General features: G+C 41.7%; 1 protein-coding gene and 1 long non-coding RNA gene across 4 annotated transcripts in view; one reads left to right on the forward strand and one right to left on the reverse strand.

Moving 5' to 3' along the window:
* Nucleotides 1-22,021, forward strand: part of PAPPA (pappalysin 1) — a 248,531-nt gene that overhangs the window by 140,416 nt on the left and 86,094 nt on the right. For all 3 annotated transcript variants that reach the window (NM_002581.5, XM_017014784.3, XM_006717129.4), the window contains one exon: nt 8,551-8,744. In NM_002581.5, coding sequence (NP_002572.2) covers nt 8,551-8,744 — 194 coding nt within the window. The remainder of the gene's footprint in view (nt 1-8,550; nt 8,745-22,021) is intronic.
* The window catches only part of PAPPA-AS2 (PAPPA antisense RNA 2), a 77,849-nt gene that overhangs the window by 8,379 nt on the left and 47,449 nt on the right, over nt 1-22,021 (reverse strand). The gene's annotated exons all lie outside the window — the stretch shown is intronic.

Consider the following 22,021-nt stretch of genomic DNA (forward strand, 5'->3'; position numbering starts at 1 on the left):
AGTTTGTTGGAGGATGCTTGATTCTCACAGTGAAACACAGGGAGGAATTTCTGGCCCATGTGGGTATGTGGCCAACCTTTGAAGGAACTGGAAACCAACTTAAGCTCCTCAGATTCAGGTCTCCTTCAGTAGACCTAATCAGCATCTGAAGCTTGTTAGCAGATTCATGGTTCCTTAGGAGCCCTCACTACCCTGTCTTTTGTACTCTGGGCAGGCTGATCTGGTTGAGGAGGTTAAGAAGAAACCCTGGTTTGAATAGAATTAAATGAGGTCAGCAATGTGGGTTTGACACGAAGCCTTTGAAAGATAGGCTATATAAAGTCAAGATATTTCTGTCCCAGAGGAAACATATGCCAATATATAGCCACCTCCCAGCCCCACCCAAGCTTCCCCTTTGTAAACCTTCAGCAGGTAAGCACTCCTGCTCCCCCTGTTCCAAGAAACTAACGTTTAAGTACAAAGATCACGCTTTGTTGTGTGTGGGGGTGTTTCTTTTTGTTGCTGTTTGGAAGAATTGTGATGTGGCATAAAGACTGTTGTTATTGAACCCATCTCTAAATAAACAGCTAAACTTAAAATATGCTACTTTTTTTCTGGCCTTTAAAGATCTTTTTGAAAAGTAATCGTTGGACTAAAAGAGAATATCATAATGCCAATCACTGTTTTATTAGCTAGAAATAGAAATAGATGCTAATTTCTCAAAAGCTGTCCTATCTTTATTTGCAAGAAATTTAGAAAGACAGGTGAATCCACTCATCGTTTGGAAGGAGGTTCATTTCAGAAGAGTGCACATTCAAAATCTTTGCTTTCTCCTTGAGCTCTAAATTAGTGACTAAGAACTCTCATCTCCTCATCTACAGGTAGTTTTGTGTATGTTTGGTTTTCTTTTTGGCTCATCAATGGGCTGGAAGATTAGTAACCTCAATAGCTTCCCAGACTAGTTATATTTAGCCAATACCAGTGAATGTTACAAAAAGTGAAATCAGAGATTTCCAAAAGTAATATTGAGACTTACTTAAGGGTAATCAACTATTTTGCTCCCAGAATTATATATTGAAAAGTGGGCCGGGCATGGTGGCTCACACCTGTAATCCCAGCACTTTGGGAGGCTGAACGGGGGGTGGATCACCTGAGGTTAAGAGTTCGAGACCAGCCTGACCAACATGGTGAAACCCCGTTTCTACTAAAAATACAAAAATTAGCCGGATGTGGTGGCGGGTGCCTGTAATCCCAGCTACTCAGGAGGCTGAGGCAGGAGAATTGCTAGAACCCAAGAGGAAGAGGTTGCAGTGAGCCAAGATCGCACCATTGCATTCCAGCCTGGGCAACAGAGCGAGACTCGGTCTCAAAAAAAAAAAAAAAAAGAAAAGAAAAGAAAAATTTCAAAGTCTCCTCATTTCTGAAGGATAATTTCGATTTATTTAACATAGTATTGCAATCTTTTTTAAATCTAGCTTCAGATCAGTTTCTTACTGTATTAGTTCCAGGATTTACTGCATTCCCTTACTCAAGTATTGGTCAAAGTTTATCCTTTACTCAGACACCTCTCTTTACATGCTCAAACTATTTATACCCTCTAAGATGTTTCTCCCAAATCATTTTGTCAAGGAAGCCTTCTCTCATTTTCCCAAGAAGTATTGATAGGAGGAGGGCCTGTCCTGATTCATTAACGTATTTCCAGCACCAGCACAACAAGAAGCAGATGTTAGTATATTGATTAAATGAATGTATAGACTTCTCCAGTTCTCATCTACTGATTAGAAGATATTTTAGCTGGGGATTGCAATAGCCCTCACTCCTAAAATCTCCAGAAAGCTTTGGTAGCTCTTATCTGTTGCTCATTCATTGCTGAAATAATCAAAAATGAATTACTGGGTTCTTAGTGTTAGCTGGGCATCTCAGAAATGTTTGAGAAGCAATCCCTTGGGGTTTAATTTTGAAAACTGCAATCCCAAGGTTTGAGGAAATTTTATAGTGAAGCTGATAAATCTTTTAGAAAAAGTGTGACATACCCTATAAGAAGGTGCCTCTGTTTTGATGAAATCTGGTTTGTAGTACTATCATGGTATGGTCAGTAATAGCATTACAAATAAGTACACAAGCACCTAGTTAGTTTAGTCTATGTATAATCTGGTAATAAATGAACTCAAAGATAAATCCGTTGTTACCTTTCATTTGTTGTTTATCTAGTCATATATTCCTCAATCACTGGTTTGGTGTCCCCTTTACTCTGAGCACTGTTATGGGTTGGAAATACTACCGTGAAGGACTCCACAATTCTGTTCGCAGAGATCTTGTCTGCCTGATAAGGAAACAGACCCACAGACAGACAGTGAGGAAACTGTGATGGAAGAAATCTAGGAACTGTGATAACACAGGAATGACACTCAGCTAGGGTGGGGTCAGGAAAAAGGGATGAGGAATAGAGAAGACTTGCAAAGGAGATGCTCTAGATGAACCTTGAAGAACCAGTGGGAGTTAGCAAAGTGAAAAATGGAAAGCACATTTCAGGCAGAGAAAAACAACCTTTGTAAGGGTGTGGAGAAATGAAACGGAATTGTTCGTGTGGAATGTGCATGAAGAGGACAGTTTGTGGATGGTCTTGTATGCCAAGCTAAGGAAAATGATGTTTTTTAAAATTATTTTTATGTGTTTATTTTTTTTTTGAGACAGAGTCTTGCTCTGTCACCCAGGCTGGAGTGCAGTGGCGTGATCTCAGCTCACTGCAACCTCCACCTCCCATGTTCAACTGATTCTCCTGCCTCAGCCTCCTGTGTAGCTGGGATTACAGGCATACACCACCATGCCTGGCTAATTTTTGTATTTTTTGTAGACACAGGGTTTCACCATGTTAGCCAGGCTGGTCTTGAACTCCTGACCTCGGATGATCTGCCTGCCTCAACCTCCCAAAGTGCTGGGATTACAGGCATGAGCCACCATGTCTGGCAGAAAATGACCTTCTATAAGTAGTGGGGATCTATCAAAGGAGGGGCATGGTAAGATTTGTATGTCAGGTAGAAGACTTATAGCCAAAATACCTTAAATTATCCCACTATCCTAGAGAATACACATTATCTCAGGCCATGTTTGAAGAACACATTGACTTCAGTTAGCTTTTACAGTAACCGATAACTTATGACTATCTGTTCAACGTTTTGAAACTGATGAGAGTCAATGTGAAGGCAAGTTTCCTTGTGAAAATTATCCCTAATATCTTGTACTGAGAAGACACGAATAATTTAATTTCTTCCTCCCTTCTCCAGCTCTGACCTCTTTAACCTCTTTAGGTATTTCTGTCACTTATTCACCTGAGTGATTCTAGTGACATCATAAATTCCCAAAGTTTCTAATTCAGCTAAGTTAATTATTGTCCACCAATTGTGTTGAAATCATTCCAATGTAAGTCAATATATTCTTTTCTTTAGGTTGTTACTTTTTTCTTTTGTTTGTTTACTTGCTTCCTTGGCATTTATATTGAAAATAGCTCATGCATCCTCTTTAATCATGTCTATCCTTCAAGATACCTTAGGGTCTAGGGCTGGGTAGAGAAAAGTAGAATCTCTAATTAAGAAGACTTCTTCTCCAACTCCAACCTCATTATCATCATTGTTAAGAATAGACCCTGTGTCTTTAAGACCAGTATTATTTTCCCATCTCAGTCTGTTATGCTATTTGATCATCCTCAGAACCTTGTTGAGAAAGTCTAAAATGTAATTTTGTTTTCATTTTATATATGGGGAAACTGAGGCATAGGGAGGTGAAATACCATGTCCAAGATTAACCAATAATCAGAGATAGATCAAGAGCTTGAATCCAGGATTTCTGACTTCAAGGATAAGAACTCTTAACAATAGCTCTAACCTGAGCCTTTGCTTCAAGGTAAACTAATATCATTTTCCTAAGATTTGGTTTTCCAAGCTTTCAAATGGGAATAACGATCTCTGTGCATCTTAAGTAGTGTCCTGCAGACATGCCTCAGGAACTCAGGGACATGGCATTTCACCTTGATGCTCCAGATAAATGAAAATAAGTCAGCTGGTGGCAGTATCAACTATGTCTGTCCACTTACACCAAGTCCATCTGCCTCGGGCTCTTGAAGCTGAACTCATTTCTTCCAAAAGGAAAAGAAAGTTTCTGGCATATGAAATCTCAACTGGAGAAGACAGACTTTGCTAATGGCACCTACCCACGTCAAGTCTCCTAGCTGGATAGAACAGATTTCTAAATGTGTCACCACATGAAAGGGAATGAATCTGAAGTGAGGAATTCCCTGATATGAGGGGAAGATGGCGTGGGATGGAGAAATCAGAATGCCCAGTGCAATCCCACTATCAGCTAGTCACCACCTGGCTTACAGCTCCATTTCCTTCTCCCTAAGACATAGTCTAAAGAAAATAGTCAAAGGGTACAGAGTTTAAACTGTATTTGGTTGAGAGTATATACATCGGGGATGCCAGATTTTGGTCATTCGTTCATTCAACAAATATTTATTGAAAGTGTATTATGTTTTCAGGATGTGTATGTGTATAAAAGTGTGTATGTGTGCACATGAATGTGTATGTCTGTGTATAATTTTCTTAGTATCCCTCACAGTGAAATTTACTGTATTATTATCAATGCTACCTAGCTACTACACGGAAGTTATTTGACCTTGGTATTGACTTCAGACTCTTTTCACTACAACCTGCTCAGCATCTAGCAGAAAGTATTTAAGGAGCACCAAGTAAATTGATGTAATGAAAACAAGACCAGTTTGTTTTAGTGTTTTGTTGTTGCTGTCTTTGTTTTTTGCGGCCGCACATTTGTATTCCATTCCTCACTCTGTTCTCTTCTGTGCTTGGGGCAGAGGGAGTAGAGAGGGAGAGAGAATTCCCCAGACACGGGCTGGCAGATGTAGCTGAAGGGCCCCCGGGACACTAATAGCAACAGAAACTGAATAGCTGTGTCCAAGGATGTTATTTTAAAAAGAGACTCACAATAGCTTTGTCAGCAGAATCTTGGAGAAGAAACTGCATCTTCTGTCTCTCTTTCTCTCTCTCTCCCTTGCTTTCTTTTTAACTCCATCTTATTTTTCTGTCTTTTAACTCTTCCTCTACGTATCTATATATCATCTATTACTTATCGACCTGCCTGTATACCTGTTTACCTACCTGTGTCTATTTCTACCTTTCCTCCATTCTCAGGTTCTGCTGATTCCTAGCAGACAAATTTATTGTGGTCTTTAACATAATCAGGAAGAAATTAGCCTTTAGAAGAACTAAAATCTAACCCCAATTTCTGTCATTCCGAGAGGTTTTTTGCTAAGGAAATTAAGTCACTTTAGAGACTAGATCTTACCCTTACAGAGAACATAATCTTACCCTATTTTTCTTTACATTGGAGGAGAAGAAAGTGATACCAAGAATTAGGCACCCCTATGATCTTATTTCCAAGAGGTTGTTTTCGTCATTCTGTAGCTGTGGCATGTAGGGAGAAGATTTCTCTGCTAGGTGTAAAAAGGCCAGTCTTCTACTTCTTGCTCTGCTACCACCTGTCTCTGTGACCTGGAAGCAGATGGCTTCTTCCTCAAGCTCACAGTTTTCCATTAGATAAAATGGATGAAGGGGCCAGCATTATACCCACAATCATCTGAAATCACTGCAACAACGCTGGGTAAATATCATTACCTCCATTTTTTTTTTTTTTTCAGATGAGGAAAATGAAGTTCAGAGAGGTTAGGTTATTTTATTTATGTCCTCTTTGTAGTGCTTATAGGAAGCAGAATTCAGATTTGTACCTACTTCTGCCTGATGTCAAAACCCTTGCTCTTTTCAGTTCTCTGTATTGGGTTTCTGAAGAGTAAAGTCTGGATTTATGGCTGGTCACTCTTGGATTGGGCCTAGGTTATACGATATGTAGAGTGGCCACATTCACATGAGGTTGGAGCTACTGAGAAGTACTGAGCCTGTATTCTTTCTATATTGAACTGCCATGAATGCTACTGGTCACTTATAATGAATTGATTTATTCTGTTTCTTTTGCTCATTCTTTCTTTCTTTTCTCTTTCTGTTTTTCTTTTGTTTTGTTTTGTTTTGTTTTTTTGTTTTTTTCAGACAGGGTCTTGCTCTGTCACCCAGGCTGGAGTGCAGTGGTGTGATCACTACTCACTGCAGCTCTGACCTACTGGGCTCAATAAATCCTCCCACCTCAGCCTCATGAGTAGCTGGGACTACAGATGTGCACCACTGTGCCCAGCTAACTTTTGTATGTTTTGGAGAGACAGGGTCTCATCATGTTGCTCAGGCTCATCTGATTGCTCAAGCAATCTGCCTGCCTTGGCTCTCCCCAAAGTGCTGGGATTACAGGCATGAGCCACTGTGCCCGGCCCTATTTGGGCTCTTTTGATAGTATTTCACTGGGTAAACTGTTGGCAGAAATAAACAAGGGATTTTGCAGCTTGGAAGAAGTTCAGCATTCTGGTGCCCCTGAATCCAATGACTCTTCTTTTCAGATACTTAGCATCATAGAAATCTGTCTTGTTTCTCCTTGGCAGGGGCTCTTTCTAGCTAGGGGAAAGTTGCTTGAATGTGTTTCAAGTGAGCACTGATTTCACAAGCTGATTTAATTCCTCCACTTAGAAGCAAATCAACCCATTAAAAGAAGAGTATTTTTTTTTTCTCTCGATGATTATTCTAGGATGTACAAAGCACATTTATGTTCATTTCCTATTAGAGTTCTATGGTTATCCTGAGAGGTTTTCCTGGTTGGGACTATAATTTCTACATTACAGACTGGGGACAGGGGGAAGAGGCCAAGAAGTAAGTGAAGCCAGTTGTGCAAAGATACATAGCTAATGTAAGGGACAGAAACCAAACCCTTGTCTTTGGCCCTAAATTCAGTGCCCTCTCCAGAGCTCCACTCTATTATTTTGTGGAAGAATGTTCTAAATCAAGCAGAAGCCTTAGGGTGACCATATATCCTGATTTGCCTGAGAAATTCAGATTTTCCCAGGATATGTTCCTTTTGTCTGGACATAATTTTTAATAGCACCACTATCATTTTCAAAGTGCTCTGGTTTGGATGATAAATTATATAGTAACCCTAAGACACTGGCTAGCAACTATATTTCAAGGAGCTCAGAATCTTTCAAAAGTCCTGCAACATGTAGACTTAATAGCAGCACAGTGTGATAAGTGTTAAGATAGAAATCTTTATAAAATAGGCACCCACACAGGAGGTGGTATTTAGCTTTGCCTAGAAAAGTTGGGAAAATAGCACAGAAGAGCTGATGCTAGAATTAGTAAAAAGGTGGACAAGGTGATCTCTTTTGGTTGGCCACATTGAGGTTTTTCCTTGTATTGTTCTGTGTTGAAATATCAAGAAACATGCATAGGTCACACCTACTTAGAAGGCATCCTACTGCTAGCTTTGTGCTTCTGTTATCCTTGTCCTTGCAGCTAAGTGAGAATCATTGCAGCCGGCTGCAGCTTTAAATCATTCCAAACAGAAGCACTTGCTGTGGTCTAGATGACATGGGAGCTTGAGAATTCACTTGGTCTTTAACTAAAACTCCTAGGGTATCCGACAAGCCCTTAGAAGCCTATAGCATTAGACAGGAAGGGTTCTTGGTGTCTCAATAGTGTAACCTCTTTCTCTGCTCTGATGGTTGAGCCCAGTGTGGCAAGGAGACTTATTCAAATTAACAGAGCAATTTGGTTTCAGAGCTGGAATTGAAGCCAATGTCCCTTGTAAATCAGTTCATGTTTTAAAGCAAAACTGAAATCCTCTTTGGAGTTAAACAACCCCCAGTTTGCCTCTGTGAAATTCTTTTGTGTCAAATAATGCACTCAGAACTTGGAAAGTGAATGCCTGAGTTGGAGACCCAGATCAGGTATTAACACACTGTGTGATCTTGGGCAAGTTATTAAAGATGTATGGAATCTCAGTTTCCTCATCTGGAAGAATAATATCTTCCACATGAAGTTTTTATGAGGAATATTTCGAATAATGAAGGTGAAAGTGTTTGTGAACTTTTTATTACAGTATAGACACACAACACAAGGTCTACCTTCTTTATATATTTTAAATGTAAAGTACAATATTGTTAACTATAAGCACACTATTTTACAGCAGATTCCTATAACTTTTTCATGTTGCACAATTGAAACCACATACTCACTGAAAAGCAACTCTCCATTTCCTCCTCCCCCGAGATCCTGGAAACCACCATTTTACTTTCTACTTCTATGAGCTTCCCTACTTTACATGCCATCTATAAGTCGAATCATGCAGTATTTGTCTTTCTGTGACTGGATTATTTCCCTTAACATGGTGGCCTCCACGTTTCCTATAACATGGTTATCTCCTTGAACATGGTTCATCCATGTTGTTGCAGATGACAGAATTTCCTTCTTTTTTTTTCAAGACTGAGTAATAGTCCATCGTGACTAATGTGATGGGCTTGACAGTACCAATGGTTTTGGTGGTCTGACTCTGCAGCTGCTGATGATTGCTGAGGCCAAAGAACAAATATTTATTTATTCTCTCCCTTTCTATGTCAATCTTTTGCAGATGAACCCAGCCGGTGCTATTTCCATGATGGTGATGGGGTATGTGAGGAGTTTGAACAAAAAACCAGCATTAAGGACTGTGGTGTCTACACGCCCCAGGGATTCCTGGATCAGTGGGCATCCAATGCTTCAGTATCTCATCAAGACCAGCAATGCCCAGGCTGGGTCATCATCGGACAGCCAGCAGCATCCCAGGTAAGATCCTAACCATGTGTGGCATTTCCTGCAGACATTCAAAGTCTCCGCTATGCCCCACAAGGCTACTCACCTCTAAGGCAGTGTCATTGGCTATAGCCACTTGAGCATATCTTTATTAAATGTACTGTTAGGGCTTCATGAATACCATTTGTAAAAGATTAGATCTGGAATTGTTAGGGCAGGGAACATTGTATGATAGGGTAATGACTGTCCTCCTATTTCCTTGCCTGTAATAACTAATATTTGGAGAAAGAACTCCATTTTGCATATATCATGTATTTCAATGAGGTAAGAATGAATTTATATTGGAAGTCCCACTTTTTAGGGGGCGCCAAGCTGTGTACTACTTGAATTAACAGTAATTATACAGTAATTTGCTATGTGGCCTTAGACTAGTTCTCCCACCTCTCTGGGCCCTATTTTTCGACTCATCCTTAAAATAAAGAGTAGTTGAGCTTGTTGATCTCCAAGGGCCTTCCCAATTCTAAGAAGCTGTGACTCATGCCTCAGTCCCCTAATGCACTATTTATGTGCCACAGTTCTTCCCCAAGGGACTGACAGCTTAGTCCAGGGAGTGAGAGTTTTGGGGCCACTAGTGCTTGTATGATTCTAGAGATGGTCATGCTGTCCCGAGAGCCCCCTTTCCAATTATCCTACCAAGGAAGCACCTGCCTTCCCCGAGACTCAAATTTCCCAGAGACACGACTCAGTGCTTCTGGCTGCCTGGCCTAGTGGCCTTTCAGAGACCAGCCTGCCTCCTGGCCTTGCAGATGAGCTGCTATTCCCAGGCATTCCTTTCCAATATTGCTTTCTTGATTTAGGTTTAGTCGGGTAGCCCTGGCTTCTAGATGAAAGAAAGATATGACCTTCCTCTGGGGTCAAGTGAAGAATCACTGGGTGAGGTACAGAATAGGACTACCTCATTTTTAGTTGTTGCCTGTATTTGATTATTTCTTCATTCACTTTTTGTTTATGTTTACATCACTAAAGCCTTTATTCATTTGCATTTATTTTTGAATGCCCTCAGGAGAGTGGAAACAAATGGTAACATGGCATTTCCTGATGCTTAACAATGTATAGTGCCAGCCTGCTGAATGAATGAATGAATGAATGAGTGCACAGATAGATGAATGGCTAGGGTTCATCCTCCCCCTGTGCCACGTCTGTACTTGGTGGAATCATCTGTGTGGTTGCATTTATCATACTGAACTCTGAAGTATCTATTTGTCTGTCTGGCTCCCCCATTAGGCTGCTGGTTCTTTGAGAACAAGTTTCAGTTTATTCATCTTTGTCCTCTCATGTTCAAGCAAAGGCTAGATAGGTGCCCAGCAAATGTGTGTTTAATTGACTGTAGATACACACACATACACATACATACATCCCATTGCCACATGCAAATGAACGACACTGACAGAAAACACTCACGCATTGCCTCTCTATCACATAGAATGTCCTGCTTCAGAAACAACAGTGCTGGGGCCAGCAAGAGAACAAGGAATCCAAATTCAACACTAGCATCCAGTTCTTAGAAATGTTTTAAAAACAACCTTCAAACAAGAGAATTATTAACACACTCAGAACCTCCCATGAGGAAGAGTTGAGGTAGCAGCTGTGCTTAAAAATCACCCAAATGTTATTGCGACTAATGTGAGAAAAGGAGAGAAAGAATTTTCCAGTCTTAGCATTTGAAAAGAAGCTTCATGGGGCAATTATTCCAATCTTGTAAGGGGGGGCTGTCAGGAATTACTGGTGATTATCTCTTCCTAAACAAAAATCCAATTTAAAAAATCATTATAAATACTAGCTCTTCGATCTACAAAGAGGAGATGAGGAAACAAAATCATCCTATTGAATTATTCATTGTAACCAATTTTATTTTAATGAAATCGACTAGGTTCCATTACTCTGGGCTTGGACATAATCTTTGTTACAAGGAGATTTCAGCTGTAACTAAATTTGCCATAATGAGATCAGCTCACTGGAGAATACAGGGTCGGGGAGGGAATATGTGTGCAGGCTGGGTGCAGGGCCAGGAAGAGGGCAGCAGAACAAAAGTCTCCTGAATTCCTCATCTGAAAGCAAGTACCTAGAAGTCATTCACAAACACACACACACACACACCCTACCACCACCACACACAGAGGCACAGGCACACGCATACACAAGTACGTGGGCACACAGACACACACACACACACACACACACACACACACACACACACACGGAGTCTGCATAATTAGAGGTAAAGGCTATTCCTGAAGTGTAAACGTACCTTCCTTCCAACAACAGAGAATGAGGAGGAAGTATAATTGTGCTCTTCATTACCTTGTACAGTGATTAGAAGAGATTGGTAGTTAATTTTCACCCTGTCAGGGCTTCCAGTGAAGATGTTGATAGCTTGAGAGGAGGAGCTGGGAGGCTCTTAGAAGTTGGGCTTAGGAAGAAGATGGGAATTGTATCATGTGCTTCTCACTTTCCCCCCAGATGCTCATACTCTCCCTCTTCTCTCTCTCTCTCTCACACACACACACACACACATACATACACAAATTTACACACCAAAAGGCCCTGTAGGAGCATGGGAGTACCAAAGCAGATAGAAGAGAATAGCAGGAAAGAAATAGTAGTTATCAAGGTCCACCAGGCACTGGACACATGTATGCACATTACAGCCAATCCCCTTGTCATTCTTCAAGGTAGGAATTGTTGTCTACCTTGGAGAAACTGAGGAACACAGTGGCTTCACTATAAGTTACATGGTCCATAAGGGAAGAATCTAGGATTAGAAGAATCTCATGGAAGATGAATGACAGTGGGTCCTTGGGAACATGAGGTCACATTCAAAAGTTGGAAGTGGCTGGATTCCTGGAAAACTTCACTACAAAACAGGCAGAAAGACTCCTAGATGGATAGATCTCAGCATTGAGTGTCACTCTGCAGACCTCATGAGGTACTTCAGTTCTCCTTGAACAAACTTATAGTCACTGCCCATACCTTCAAATTCAGGCTGTTCCCATTCCCTGACAAGGTGGCCCTGTTCCATGATGCCCTGGAGTTCCCTAGGACACTCCATTAACTTAGGGAATGATGAAATAACCTAGTCATTCCCATTTCCTCTTTACAATTCAGTTTGGTCCCACTTTCTGTCTTTCCCTGATGCAATAAAAATGATAAATGCGAAGGTGTTTATTGGAGTTATGTGCCTAGTTCTGTGCTAGAGCCTGTGGAAGAAACCAAAGAACTGAAATACCCAGCCTCTGACCTAGTCACTGTACAAGAGTTAGGAGTGAGAATTCTATCAAAGGCACATTCTTATCACAATAAGTCTGCAGGATCTCTATGACTACTGCAAAGAAACAACATGCATTGTGCTATATGGCTTGAGAATATTGATTAAAACTTCAGTTTTGATGTTGTAAAAGCCTGCCATATCTAATGGTTTCCAGTGTTTCTCGTTCATTCTTTTCAAACATGATTCCCAAATTTGGTTAGGGCAAAGCTAACCCTGAACATTGAGTCTCATATCCAAATCTTATCAGAAGTATCAAAACTTCCTGGTTGTGCAAATTGGGTTGAACATCCTATAATAAGAGACATTCTTTGGATATTTTGGCCATGCACCTTCCTGGCCCAGCTGGAATCAAGAAGTTCCTGAGACAGAAAAAAATGGAAATTAACCGAAAAAATCAAGTTATCTCTCTTCTGGGAACCTCAGAACCTGGTTTGGTTTAAGTGCTTGCAAATATCTTGTATTGTTCTTATTTGGTCTCCATGTTTCACATTTCTCTAATGCTTTACACAAAAGGATGCCAAAATGAGATGTTGATATTCCTTCCTTTTACCCCGGCCTCCAGCATTTCTACCAAAGTCTGTTTCCTCCTATCCAAACAGGCACCTCCCTCCTTTGCAGTGGCCTGAGGAGGAAATGGAAATACTAAGACTATCTGGAATTTACAGTGCTCTCCTAAGGGATTACAGACCTTCAGTCAACCAACCAATTTATTTCCTTAATCCTTTGAGGGTAAAACTTAGACTAAGCATTTCAAGGGGAGTAGTTTGAGGGCCAAAGTAAAGAAAACTTTTCAAAGAATGAGAACTATCCACAGTGAGATGGAGTGCCTTGTGATATAAGAAGTTCCCCAACATAAGGCATTCAGGCTGGACAGCTGACTGAACAGAAGATTCCTGCACTAGAAGGCAGGTGAGACCTAGGTATGCCTCTTTTCTTTGTAATTGATTCTCTGACTTTATGTCCCATTAACCCACGATTGGGTATATTAGTCCTTGGCCACTTCATTTTGAGTTGCTATTATCATTCCTTGGCCCATCCATAATACTTCATGCCTCTACTAGAATACAAACCAGGCCGGGCACGGTGGCTCACGCTTGTAATTCCAGCGCTTTGGGAGGCTGAGGCGGGCGGATCACCTGAGGTCAGGAGTTTGAGGCCAGCCTGACCAACATGGTGAAACCCCGTCTCTACTAAAAATACAAAATTGAGTCGGTTGTGGTGGCAGGCACCTGTAATCCCAGCTACTTGGGAAGCTGAGGCAGGAGAATCGCTTGAACCCGGTTCAAGCGGTTGCAGTGAGCCGAGACGGTGCCATTACATTCCAGCCTTGGTGATGAGAGGGAAAATCCATCTCAAGAAAAATAAAAATAAAATAAAATACAAACCATACTATACCTTGTAATATAACAATTTATACATTAATTTATTTATTCACTTGATTGAACAGAAATATATTTGAGTCCTGCACTGAGGAATGTGAGAGAGAGAGAGAGAGCATGGCCGTTAATGAGGTGAAGTAGAAATCATGCAGATCTGGCTCTGCTCTCTTAAATTCCATTCTGACATGGAAACCTTGAGTAAGTTACTCTTCTGGGAATCTTAGTGTCCTGTAGAAAATGAGAATGATAACATCTACCTGGTAGAAATTAAGATGAATGATATCTACCTGGTAGAAATGAAGGATGCAGAGAAAACACTCTGTGCTGGGTTTGTTAACTTGATGGGTAGTTCAAATGTTAATTCTCTGTCTTGTTCATGTCAGGTTTCCTTCTTTGCACTCCCCCCAAAGCTGGCTCTAGGGACCCACACAGAACAGAAGCTCAGTCAACATTTTGTTGAATTAAACACAGTTGCGTCAGCAAACGTTTGCTGCATCCTCAGAACTGCAGCAGGCACTTTGAGAAGCTTCAGAGAAGTACTGGTTCTTTTTCTGCCTTCATAAAGCTTACCATGTCATCAGAAGGGTGTTTTCAACTAGAAATAGTAGCCAAAGACCCAAGAGTGAGAGTGTAAGATCTAGAGGGAGTTTCCCCGAGGAAGAAACCACACTGCTATCAGCTTACTCAGCCAGTAGTGATGAGAGCCAGTGTGTAAGATAGAAAAGTCCTTTGCCCACTTTCAGAAGATCCTGGACAAATTATAAAAATAGCATTTATCAACTTCTTCCAGGCTTTCCACCAAATTTCACGAATCCTACTAAAGCTACTACAAAAATAGGAATCACTGTTTTCATTTTACAGATTAGGACACAAAGGCTCAGAGAGCAGAGTAACTTGCTTCAGGGCTCATCTCTATAAGGGGCAGAACCAAGATGCAGGCCACTGTGTTCATAATAGAAATACAGCTACAGGACCAGGCAGCTCAAGCCTGCTCCAATGACTGACACATGAGAACAAGCTAGAAGAGCTAGTGTCTTTTGCATCTTTTAATATGTGGTACGTATTTAAGGAACACCGGGAAAGTGGGCATTCCCTCTCTCTAATACCCAAAATACTGCCCTACAATTTTTGCCTGCTGCTAAGATCTCCATCTTTTGGCCCCCATTCTTTCACCCATTGCCCTTTCCAGAGAGTTTTCTAAAATGTGTGTATGGAAATAAGAGAGACACATAAGTGTTGTAAATTGCCAACCCTTGCATGTAAAAATTATTTCTTAAATTTTGGAATGTCTGCTTAATTATAGTAGGGATATGGGGAGAAAAAAATAATAAATGCACAAATAGGAAGAAGAAACTTTGCTCAATTTACAGTTTTGTCACAAGCTATGTGCTATACATAGGAAACCTTAAAATGTCAGTGAAAGGGAATTGTAAGATGTGCATATTTTCTTTCTTTTTTTCTTTTTTTTTTTGGCAAAGTCTCACTCCGTCCTCCAGGCTGAAGTGCGGTGGCACAATCTCGGCTCACTGCAGCCTCCACCTCCCAGGTTCAAGTGGTCCTCCTGCCTCAGCCTCCCAAGTAGCTGGGATTACAAGCCTATGCCACTATGCCCAGCTAATTTTTGTATTTTTAGTAGAGATGGGGTTTCACCATGTTGGTCAGGCTGGTCTCAAACTTCTAACCTTAAGTGATCCATCTTCCTCAGCCTCCCAAAGTGCTGGGATTACAGGTGTGACCCACTGCGCCCAGCCAGATGTGCATATTTTCTGATGGCTGCCAAGTCTGAGGCAGGAGGGGAGAAGCCATTCATCTGTGTCTTCTTCATCCTTGTCTCCACAGCAAGGGACTAGATACCCACTAGGGTATTGTATGGATACAAGGATAAGAAATCTTTCCACGTACACTTATGATGCAGTGTAGGAAGTGCTCAGAGAGGCGGACTGAGAGGAGGTCAGGGAGAAGTGATTGCTGAGTTTCAACTAAGAGGATAAGCTGGAGGACAGGAGAGGGAGGACGGGAGAGGGAGGAAAGAATCACATAATGGGGGCTGCGAGGGGTATATCCAAAAAAAGGTAAATAATAGATGAAGGGGAAGTCAAGAGAGATGAGCTAGGAAACATGGTTAGGAAAATCCTGCCAATGCTTGGAACTTGACATTATCCTGAGGGCAATGGGGAGTTTTTCTGAGTTTTTCAGCAGGGGGCTAACATGTTTGGATCATTGAAAGAAGAACATTGACAAGTGTTGAACACTTCTTACATGCCAGGCCCTGTATTATTTTGCATAGATTTCAGAACAACCCTGCTGAGAATTCTTAATATTCCTCTCTCAAAATGAAGAAACTGAGTCTCAGGGAGATGAATCACCCCACCCATGGTACTCTTTCTTCTGTTTTCTTTTCTTATACCAGGATACTGGTATTGCATTAAAACAGCCTCACTTGGAAATTCTGCATTGATAAGCAATTCTGCAATGCTAATTAGAGTGTGCTATTTGCAAAGGGCAGGAAGAAATCCTGTGCTCTATACCCAATGCCGAAGTCACTTCTAAGGGGCTCTCTGCCCCTTCCTTGCCTGCTCTGCCTGCTATGGCCTTCACCAAAGCATTCATCTCCTCTCATTAGTGAAATGAGAGAGCCTTTGCCAATGGTGGTGGAAGGAGGAAAGGCGAAGGGAACATGCTGAAATTTCAGAGACAATTCCAAGCAGTTTTCCCAAATACCCAAAGGATCTGCTTTCTCCTGGTGGTTTCTGAATAATTTTTCAAGAGCACGTGTGCAAGTCATCTAAGGAGACAGAACAGAAAGTACCATGGTCTAGTTCAGCCTGTCCCATGGTGTGGGGCACCAAAAAAATCCCTCCAGGAAAGTAAAAATCAGAGCCTGCCTCAGAAAGGAGCCCACTGAGTTGGTCACTATAACCACCCCCAAAACTTTCATGGAAACCTTGGACTGTGGGAGACTTTAAATCTACTGAATCTTATGGGGCCCCAGCAAAGAGATCTACTAGATTCTGCTCCTGGCTCTCTCTTCTATTCATCCTTTGGTCATTTACCCTTTCAATATCTGTTCAAATCTACAAAAGTCTAGACACTCTGGCCCTAGGATTTGGACTGAAAAACTCTGAGTGACTGGAGCTTTATAAAAAATGAGATCTAGGATCAGTTCAACCTGATTTTCAGTTCTAGAGTCCACCACTTACTAGCTGTGAGACTTTAAGCAAGTCAGTTCTCTTTGCCCCCACCCCAGTTTTTCATCTGTAATATAGGAGTAATAACATCTCCATGGCAGGTATTTGTCAAGGATGAGACAGTTGATCTAGAAATACAGTTTTCCTTCTGGTAGCAACCGACAAAGTTTTAAAGAAACACTTCTGTCTGCCTGTGAAGTTTTGGCAACTGAGGAACAAATCGAATTAGGAACAACATGTGGACTTTTTTTTTTTTTTTTTTTTTCTAACAGAATAGTATTTGGGGCATAGAAATTTAACCAGAGAGAGACTTTGAGAGTCTCTTGGTCTTACTTCACTTAATTAAGACTTGGTTTTGATTAAACAACTTCCCTGAACCTCTCAATCCCATCCGTTATAAAATGATTCTGGTATTTGGATTCAAAATCAACAGAATCTTGTGAATCTTCTGGGTCCAAAGCATCATTTTCAACATGAGGTTGAACAAAGCAACCACTGCTCTCAGGCAGTAAGTTATGTGCCATGGAGGAAGGAAGACACCAAAATAGCTTCTTTCGATAAGAAAAGACAAAGCTTGCAAAGTGCTGTGATATGTGGACAAATGGAATTAACCTTAGAGGTTAACCTTTGAGGAGGAAGGGCGAACCTGAATAAAGTGACAGGTTATGTAGAAAGTGATTTTTCTTTCCACTTGGGCATTTGGGGGAAGCTTTAAAAAACATTGTAGTGTAGCCATATTGTTTCACAGAGGAAGCATAAGCTTTAAAGCCAGAAAGACCTGACTTGGGTACTGTTTGTTACCAGCTGTCTGATGCCTGGCGAATGATTTCAGTTTTCTGAGCCTCAATTGTCCTCATCTTCACATGATCCTGCTGTCATTCTGTGAGATGGTATGAGGATCCAATGAGCTAACATATATAAAGTGTATAATACGTGGCTACGTCTTGCGAGGCATCTAATTCTTGTCAGTTCACATCCCTACTAAACTACATTATCCCTGAGCAAATTGAATCTGGAGAAGGAACAAAAATGTGTAAGAGAGGAAAGCAAGGAAGGGATGGGTTTGGCATTTGTAGGCATACAACAAACACATATTGATTGATCAGGGAAGGTGCCACGTGGAACGGTGAGATCCTGCTTTGAATAGCGAGTCTTCATTTTTCAGTTGACACTTGACTCTTGACTTGAAGCCCAAGAATAAGCAAGGCTTTGTGGTTTGGGGCTGCATCTACTGGTTCTCCATGTAGACTAGATAAAACCCTGCCAACCCCTTCCATGGCCCATCTAGGAAGATTCCTTGGCCTCTGTCTTCCTTTTTCTTCCAAACCTGGCCTACCCCTATCTCATTACCTTCATTCTCCACATCCTCTTTAGCTTCAGGACCAGAAACCTTTCTTTTATCCCTGTCATTTGTTCTGGCTCCCTTAAAACCCTTCTTTGTTCTTGTCTTTCATTTTCTTTTCTTTTCTTTCTTTCTTTTTTTTTTTTTTTTTGTTATTGTTTTGTTTTAAGTGGGGTCACCAGCATTCAGCCAGCATGGCCTTTGCTGTGTAATTTAGTTTCATGTTCTGTACCCAAGAAACATGTAAAAAATGTAAACAGCGTTCACTCTCCTGGGCTGTAATGCACTTAGGAAGCAATAGCCAGTTGAGCTTGCTGAGCCTGCTGCTTTGGCGGTATTGAATTTTGTCCCTAAAACCACATACTCATTTCTCTAAGTCTGAAAGTAAACTTTCTCAAGCCAGACCCAAAGGATGGGGTTTTGAGGTGAGTTAGAGTTTGGCTGTGCACAAGATTTTGTTTTTATTTTTGTACACACAAATGTGTTCATTTGTTTTTGTTTGTCTTTCAAGTCCCCTCGTCTCTACTCTCTATTCCTCCCCACTCTCTATTCCTTCCCATCCTTACTTTGATAAATTAGACTGGGTATGTTACCTGTAGAATGAGACCAGAAAGGGCCTTCTGCCTCCTCTTAAGAAACTCCAACCAGGCCAGGCGTGGTGGCTCACGCCTGTAATCCCAGCACTTTGGGAGGCCAGGGCAGGCGGATCACAAGGTCAGGAGATGGAGACCATCCTGGCTAACACGGTGAAACCTCATCTCTACTAAAAACACAAAAAATTAGCTGGGCGTGGTGGTGGGTACCTGTAGTCCCAGCTACTCGGGAGGCTGAGGCAGAAGAATGGCGTGAACCCGGGAGGCAGAGCTTGCAGTGAGCGGAGATTGGGCCACTGCACACCAGCCTAGGTGACAGAGTGAGACTCCATCTCAAAAAAAAAAAAAAAAAAAGAAACTCCAACCATGATTTTCTTAAACCCTGATTAATTCTTCAGCCAGATCCAAGCACCAGAGCACCCTGGGTACATTTGTACATGTTTGTTTTCCAGGGAGAAATGGGCCCAGAGAGGCCCATGAGAGATGTCCCTGCTGAGAGGTTCCCTGTGCCAGGGCAGTCCAAAAAAGTTGTCCCTGGGGCTCCTGCCCACCCCAGAATCCTTTTCCAAACATGACTCATATGTGCAGGTGGTGAAAGGGGACACTTCGGTGATGTCTACATTTCTCTCCTTCCTGGAAGAGAGGCCCCTGGGGAAGTCACAGGTTTGGGAGAGATCTGGTCTACTGGCAAGATACTGCTTTCAGAGATGCAGATGCCACCTGGGTAATGCCCATGTCTGCAGTGCAACTGACTGGTGGCAAGGGGTCCAGGAAGAGAATATCAATTTAAAGCAACGGGAAGGAGGAGATAAACTGACATGCACCAGGGAGCTACGGTCAGGGGTTTATGTTTCAGAGAGAGCAAAATTGTATCAGTGTTCACAGGCCAGGCTCCAGACTATCTGTCCAGTAGAAACTTCCATGATGATGAAAATGTTCTACATATGAATGTCCTGTTCAGTAGCCTCTAGCCACCTATGATATTAAGCCCTAGGAATGTGGTTCATGAAACTGAGGAACTAATTGGTTTAATTTTAATTCGTTAAATTTAAATAGCCTATTTGTGGGCATTGGGTTCCCCTACTGGACAGAGCAGGTCTAGAGTACTTCACATGCCAGGGCTGCTACTTGCATTGAGATCTCGAGCAACTTAATTAGCCTCTCTGTGCCTTAGTCCTCTCATCTGTAAAATTAAATAATTAAGGGGAGATGGTGAGAATTCCATGGGATAGCACGCTTAAAGCACTTAGGACAGTGCTTGGAATAGAGTAAGTACTACCTAAATTCATTCAGTTCTGTCATTGCATCGAATCTTTTTTTTTTTTTTTTTTTTTTTTTTTTTTGAGATGGAGTCTCACTCTTTCGCCAGGCTGGAGTATAGTGGTGCAATCTTGGCTCACTGCAGCCTCCACCTCCCAGGTTTTTCAAGCGTCCTGCCTCAACCTCCCAAGTAGCTGGGACTACAGGCACACACCACCACATCCAACTAATTTTTGTATTTTTAGTAGAGACAGGGTTTCACCATGTTGGCCAGGATGGTCTCGATCTCCTGATCTCGTGATCCACCTGCCTCAGCCTCCCAAAGTGCTGGGATTACAGGTGTGAGCCACCACACCCGGTCTCTCCAGAGATTTTTAAAATGACATTTCTCTTTCCCAGAGTGAGATATGACATACTAATCTTTTTGTAACTCAATGTCTTAAATTTTTTAAGTCTGCATAAATTCTCACTGGAGGACTTTTGCTTTTGGATCATATTCTCCGTATTCACAAGAAATATTGGTCTCAGTGATTTCTCACCTGTGAAGCTCTCTATTTTGTTCCCCATGGCCTATAAACTCCAAAAGTCTTAGCAGACAAGGCCATGCACAATCTCTACCTTTGCTTTACAGACTATTGCCTAAGGGGCACGTTCCAGGCAGTATGGACCAACTTGCAATTTCCAGATATATCTTGGGGTTTCCTTTTCTCCTGCCTGGAAACACCATCATTTGCTCCTCAACCTTCTTAGGGCTTAATTATCCTACAGGGTTTAGCTCAAGTGGCTCCTCTTCCATATCCCTCCCCTGACAACCTCAGCCCATGAGCAGCCTCCCTCTTCCATGTACAGAATACTTCTGGAATTATCAGACAGGCTTGAGCACAAGCTGACTTTCAGTGTGCATTGCTTGTGTCCACAGCTTTTCATACCAAATGACCGGTTAGCAGCTAACGATTTGGCCCTCATCTTATGCCTTTAGGTATTTCCTGTGCCCAGCACAGGACCTGCTGTGTGGACAATACTCAGAAAATGGACTCATTAAATGATGTTGTTGGGAACAATAGCTGCTGGGTGTTACCTCTTTTATGATTGGATTAAATTTATAAATCGGTGTCTACAAGTGATTCCCTTATGTTTCCGGATTACAGCCTCCTGTTAATACCATAGGTGATCAAAGCAGGCAGGGCCTTCTGAAATCCCCTGTTTCATCCCTTCACATTACAAAGGAGATAAGTGCTACTGTGTGAATTGGGGGAGGAAGAGGTCCCGAAAACCCATCCTGAACCCAGACCTCATGTTCTTTCTGCTACTCTGTGCCTCCATAATCTATCCTCACCCCCGGAATGTTCACTGCACAGTGAGAAGGGTTGTTTGGTAACTGTTTTTGTGTGCTTACTCCTGTGTGTTCCAGCATCAAGAACAGGGCCTGGCATATAGAATTTCATGATAAATACTGATAAATAAATGTTTTTTTCTCTGCTAACAGCTTTGGGCAAAAAGTAGGAAACAGCTTCTGGAGGCTGAGCGCCAGGAAGGAAGCTCTACCCTTTGCTTCTTGTTTTTGCAGGAAAGATTGGGGTCTAAGCAATTTTCCTGTGATTGGCTTCCTACAGAGATGGATGGAAATCTAAGGGTCTTCCTTTCTGACTTGAGAATGTGGTTCACCTTCAGAGAGATCTCCCAATACAAGGCCCAGCACAGGAGGGTGTGAAGGAGTAAGAGGAAGAAAGATGGGAGGAAGAAGAGGTAGAGGTAAAAGGAAAGAAGGAATATAGAATGAAGAGACAGAGAAAAAGGAAGGACTACACAATAACAACAAATACCAGTAATAACCATAATGTAATAGTAATCACAGAAATTGATAATGATGAGTAGAGTAAAGAGAATGGCTTGGCTGTCAGAGTGATTACATTATGTAGAGAACTCTACACTGTTTTTTGTACATTTAAACCTGTCAACCACTGTATGAGGTAACTACTGTAATTAAGACTCACAAAGGTTAGGTCACTTACCCAAGTTCTACAGGTAGCCCAGTGGTAGAACAGGGAAGTCTAGAATTTGAAACCAGAACCATGTCCCTCTACAGCCAGGAAGAAAGAAGCAGCAAGTGATGGAGGAAAATGTCAATTTTGTATTTTTAGTGAGTAGGGTGTATCTAAATATTTGCATGTGCAAGAGCTCTTTGAATCCTCACAATGCTACAACATAGGTACCATCATC

The sequence above is a fragment of the Homo sapiens genome, chromosome 9, assembly GCF_000001405.40.
Source record: "Homo sapiens chromosome 9, GRCh38.p14 Primary Assembly".
Lineage (NCBI taxonomy): Eukaryota > Metazoa > Chordata > Mammalia > Primates > Hominidae > Homo > Homo sapiens.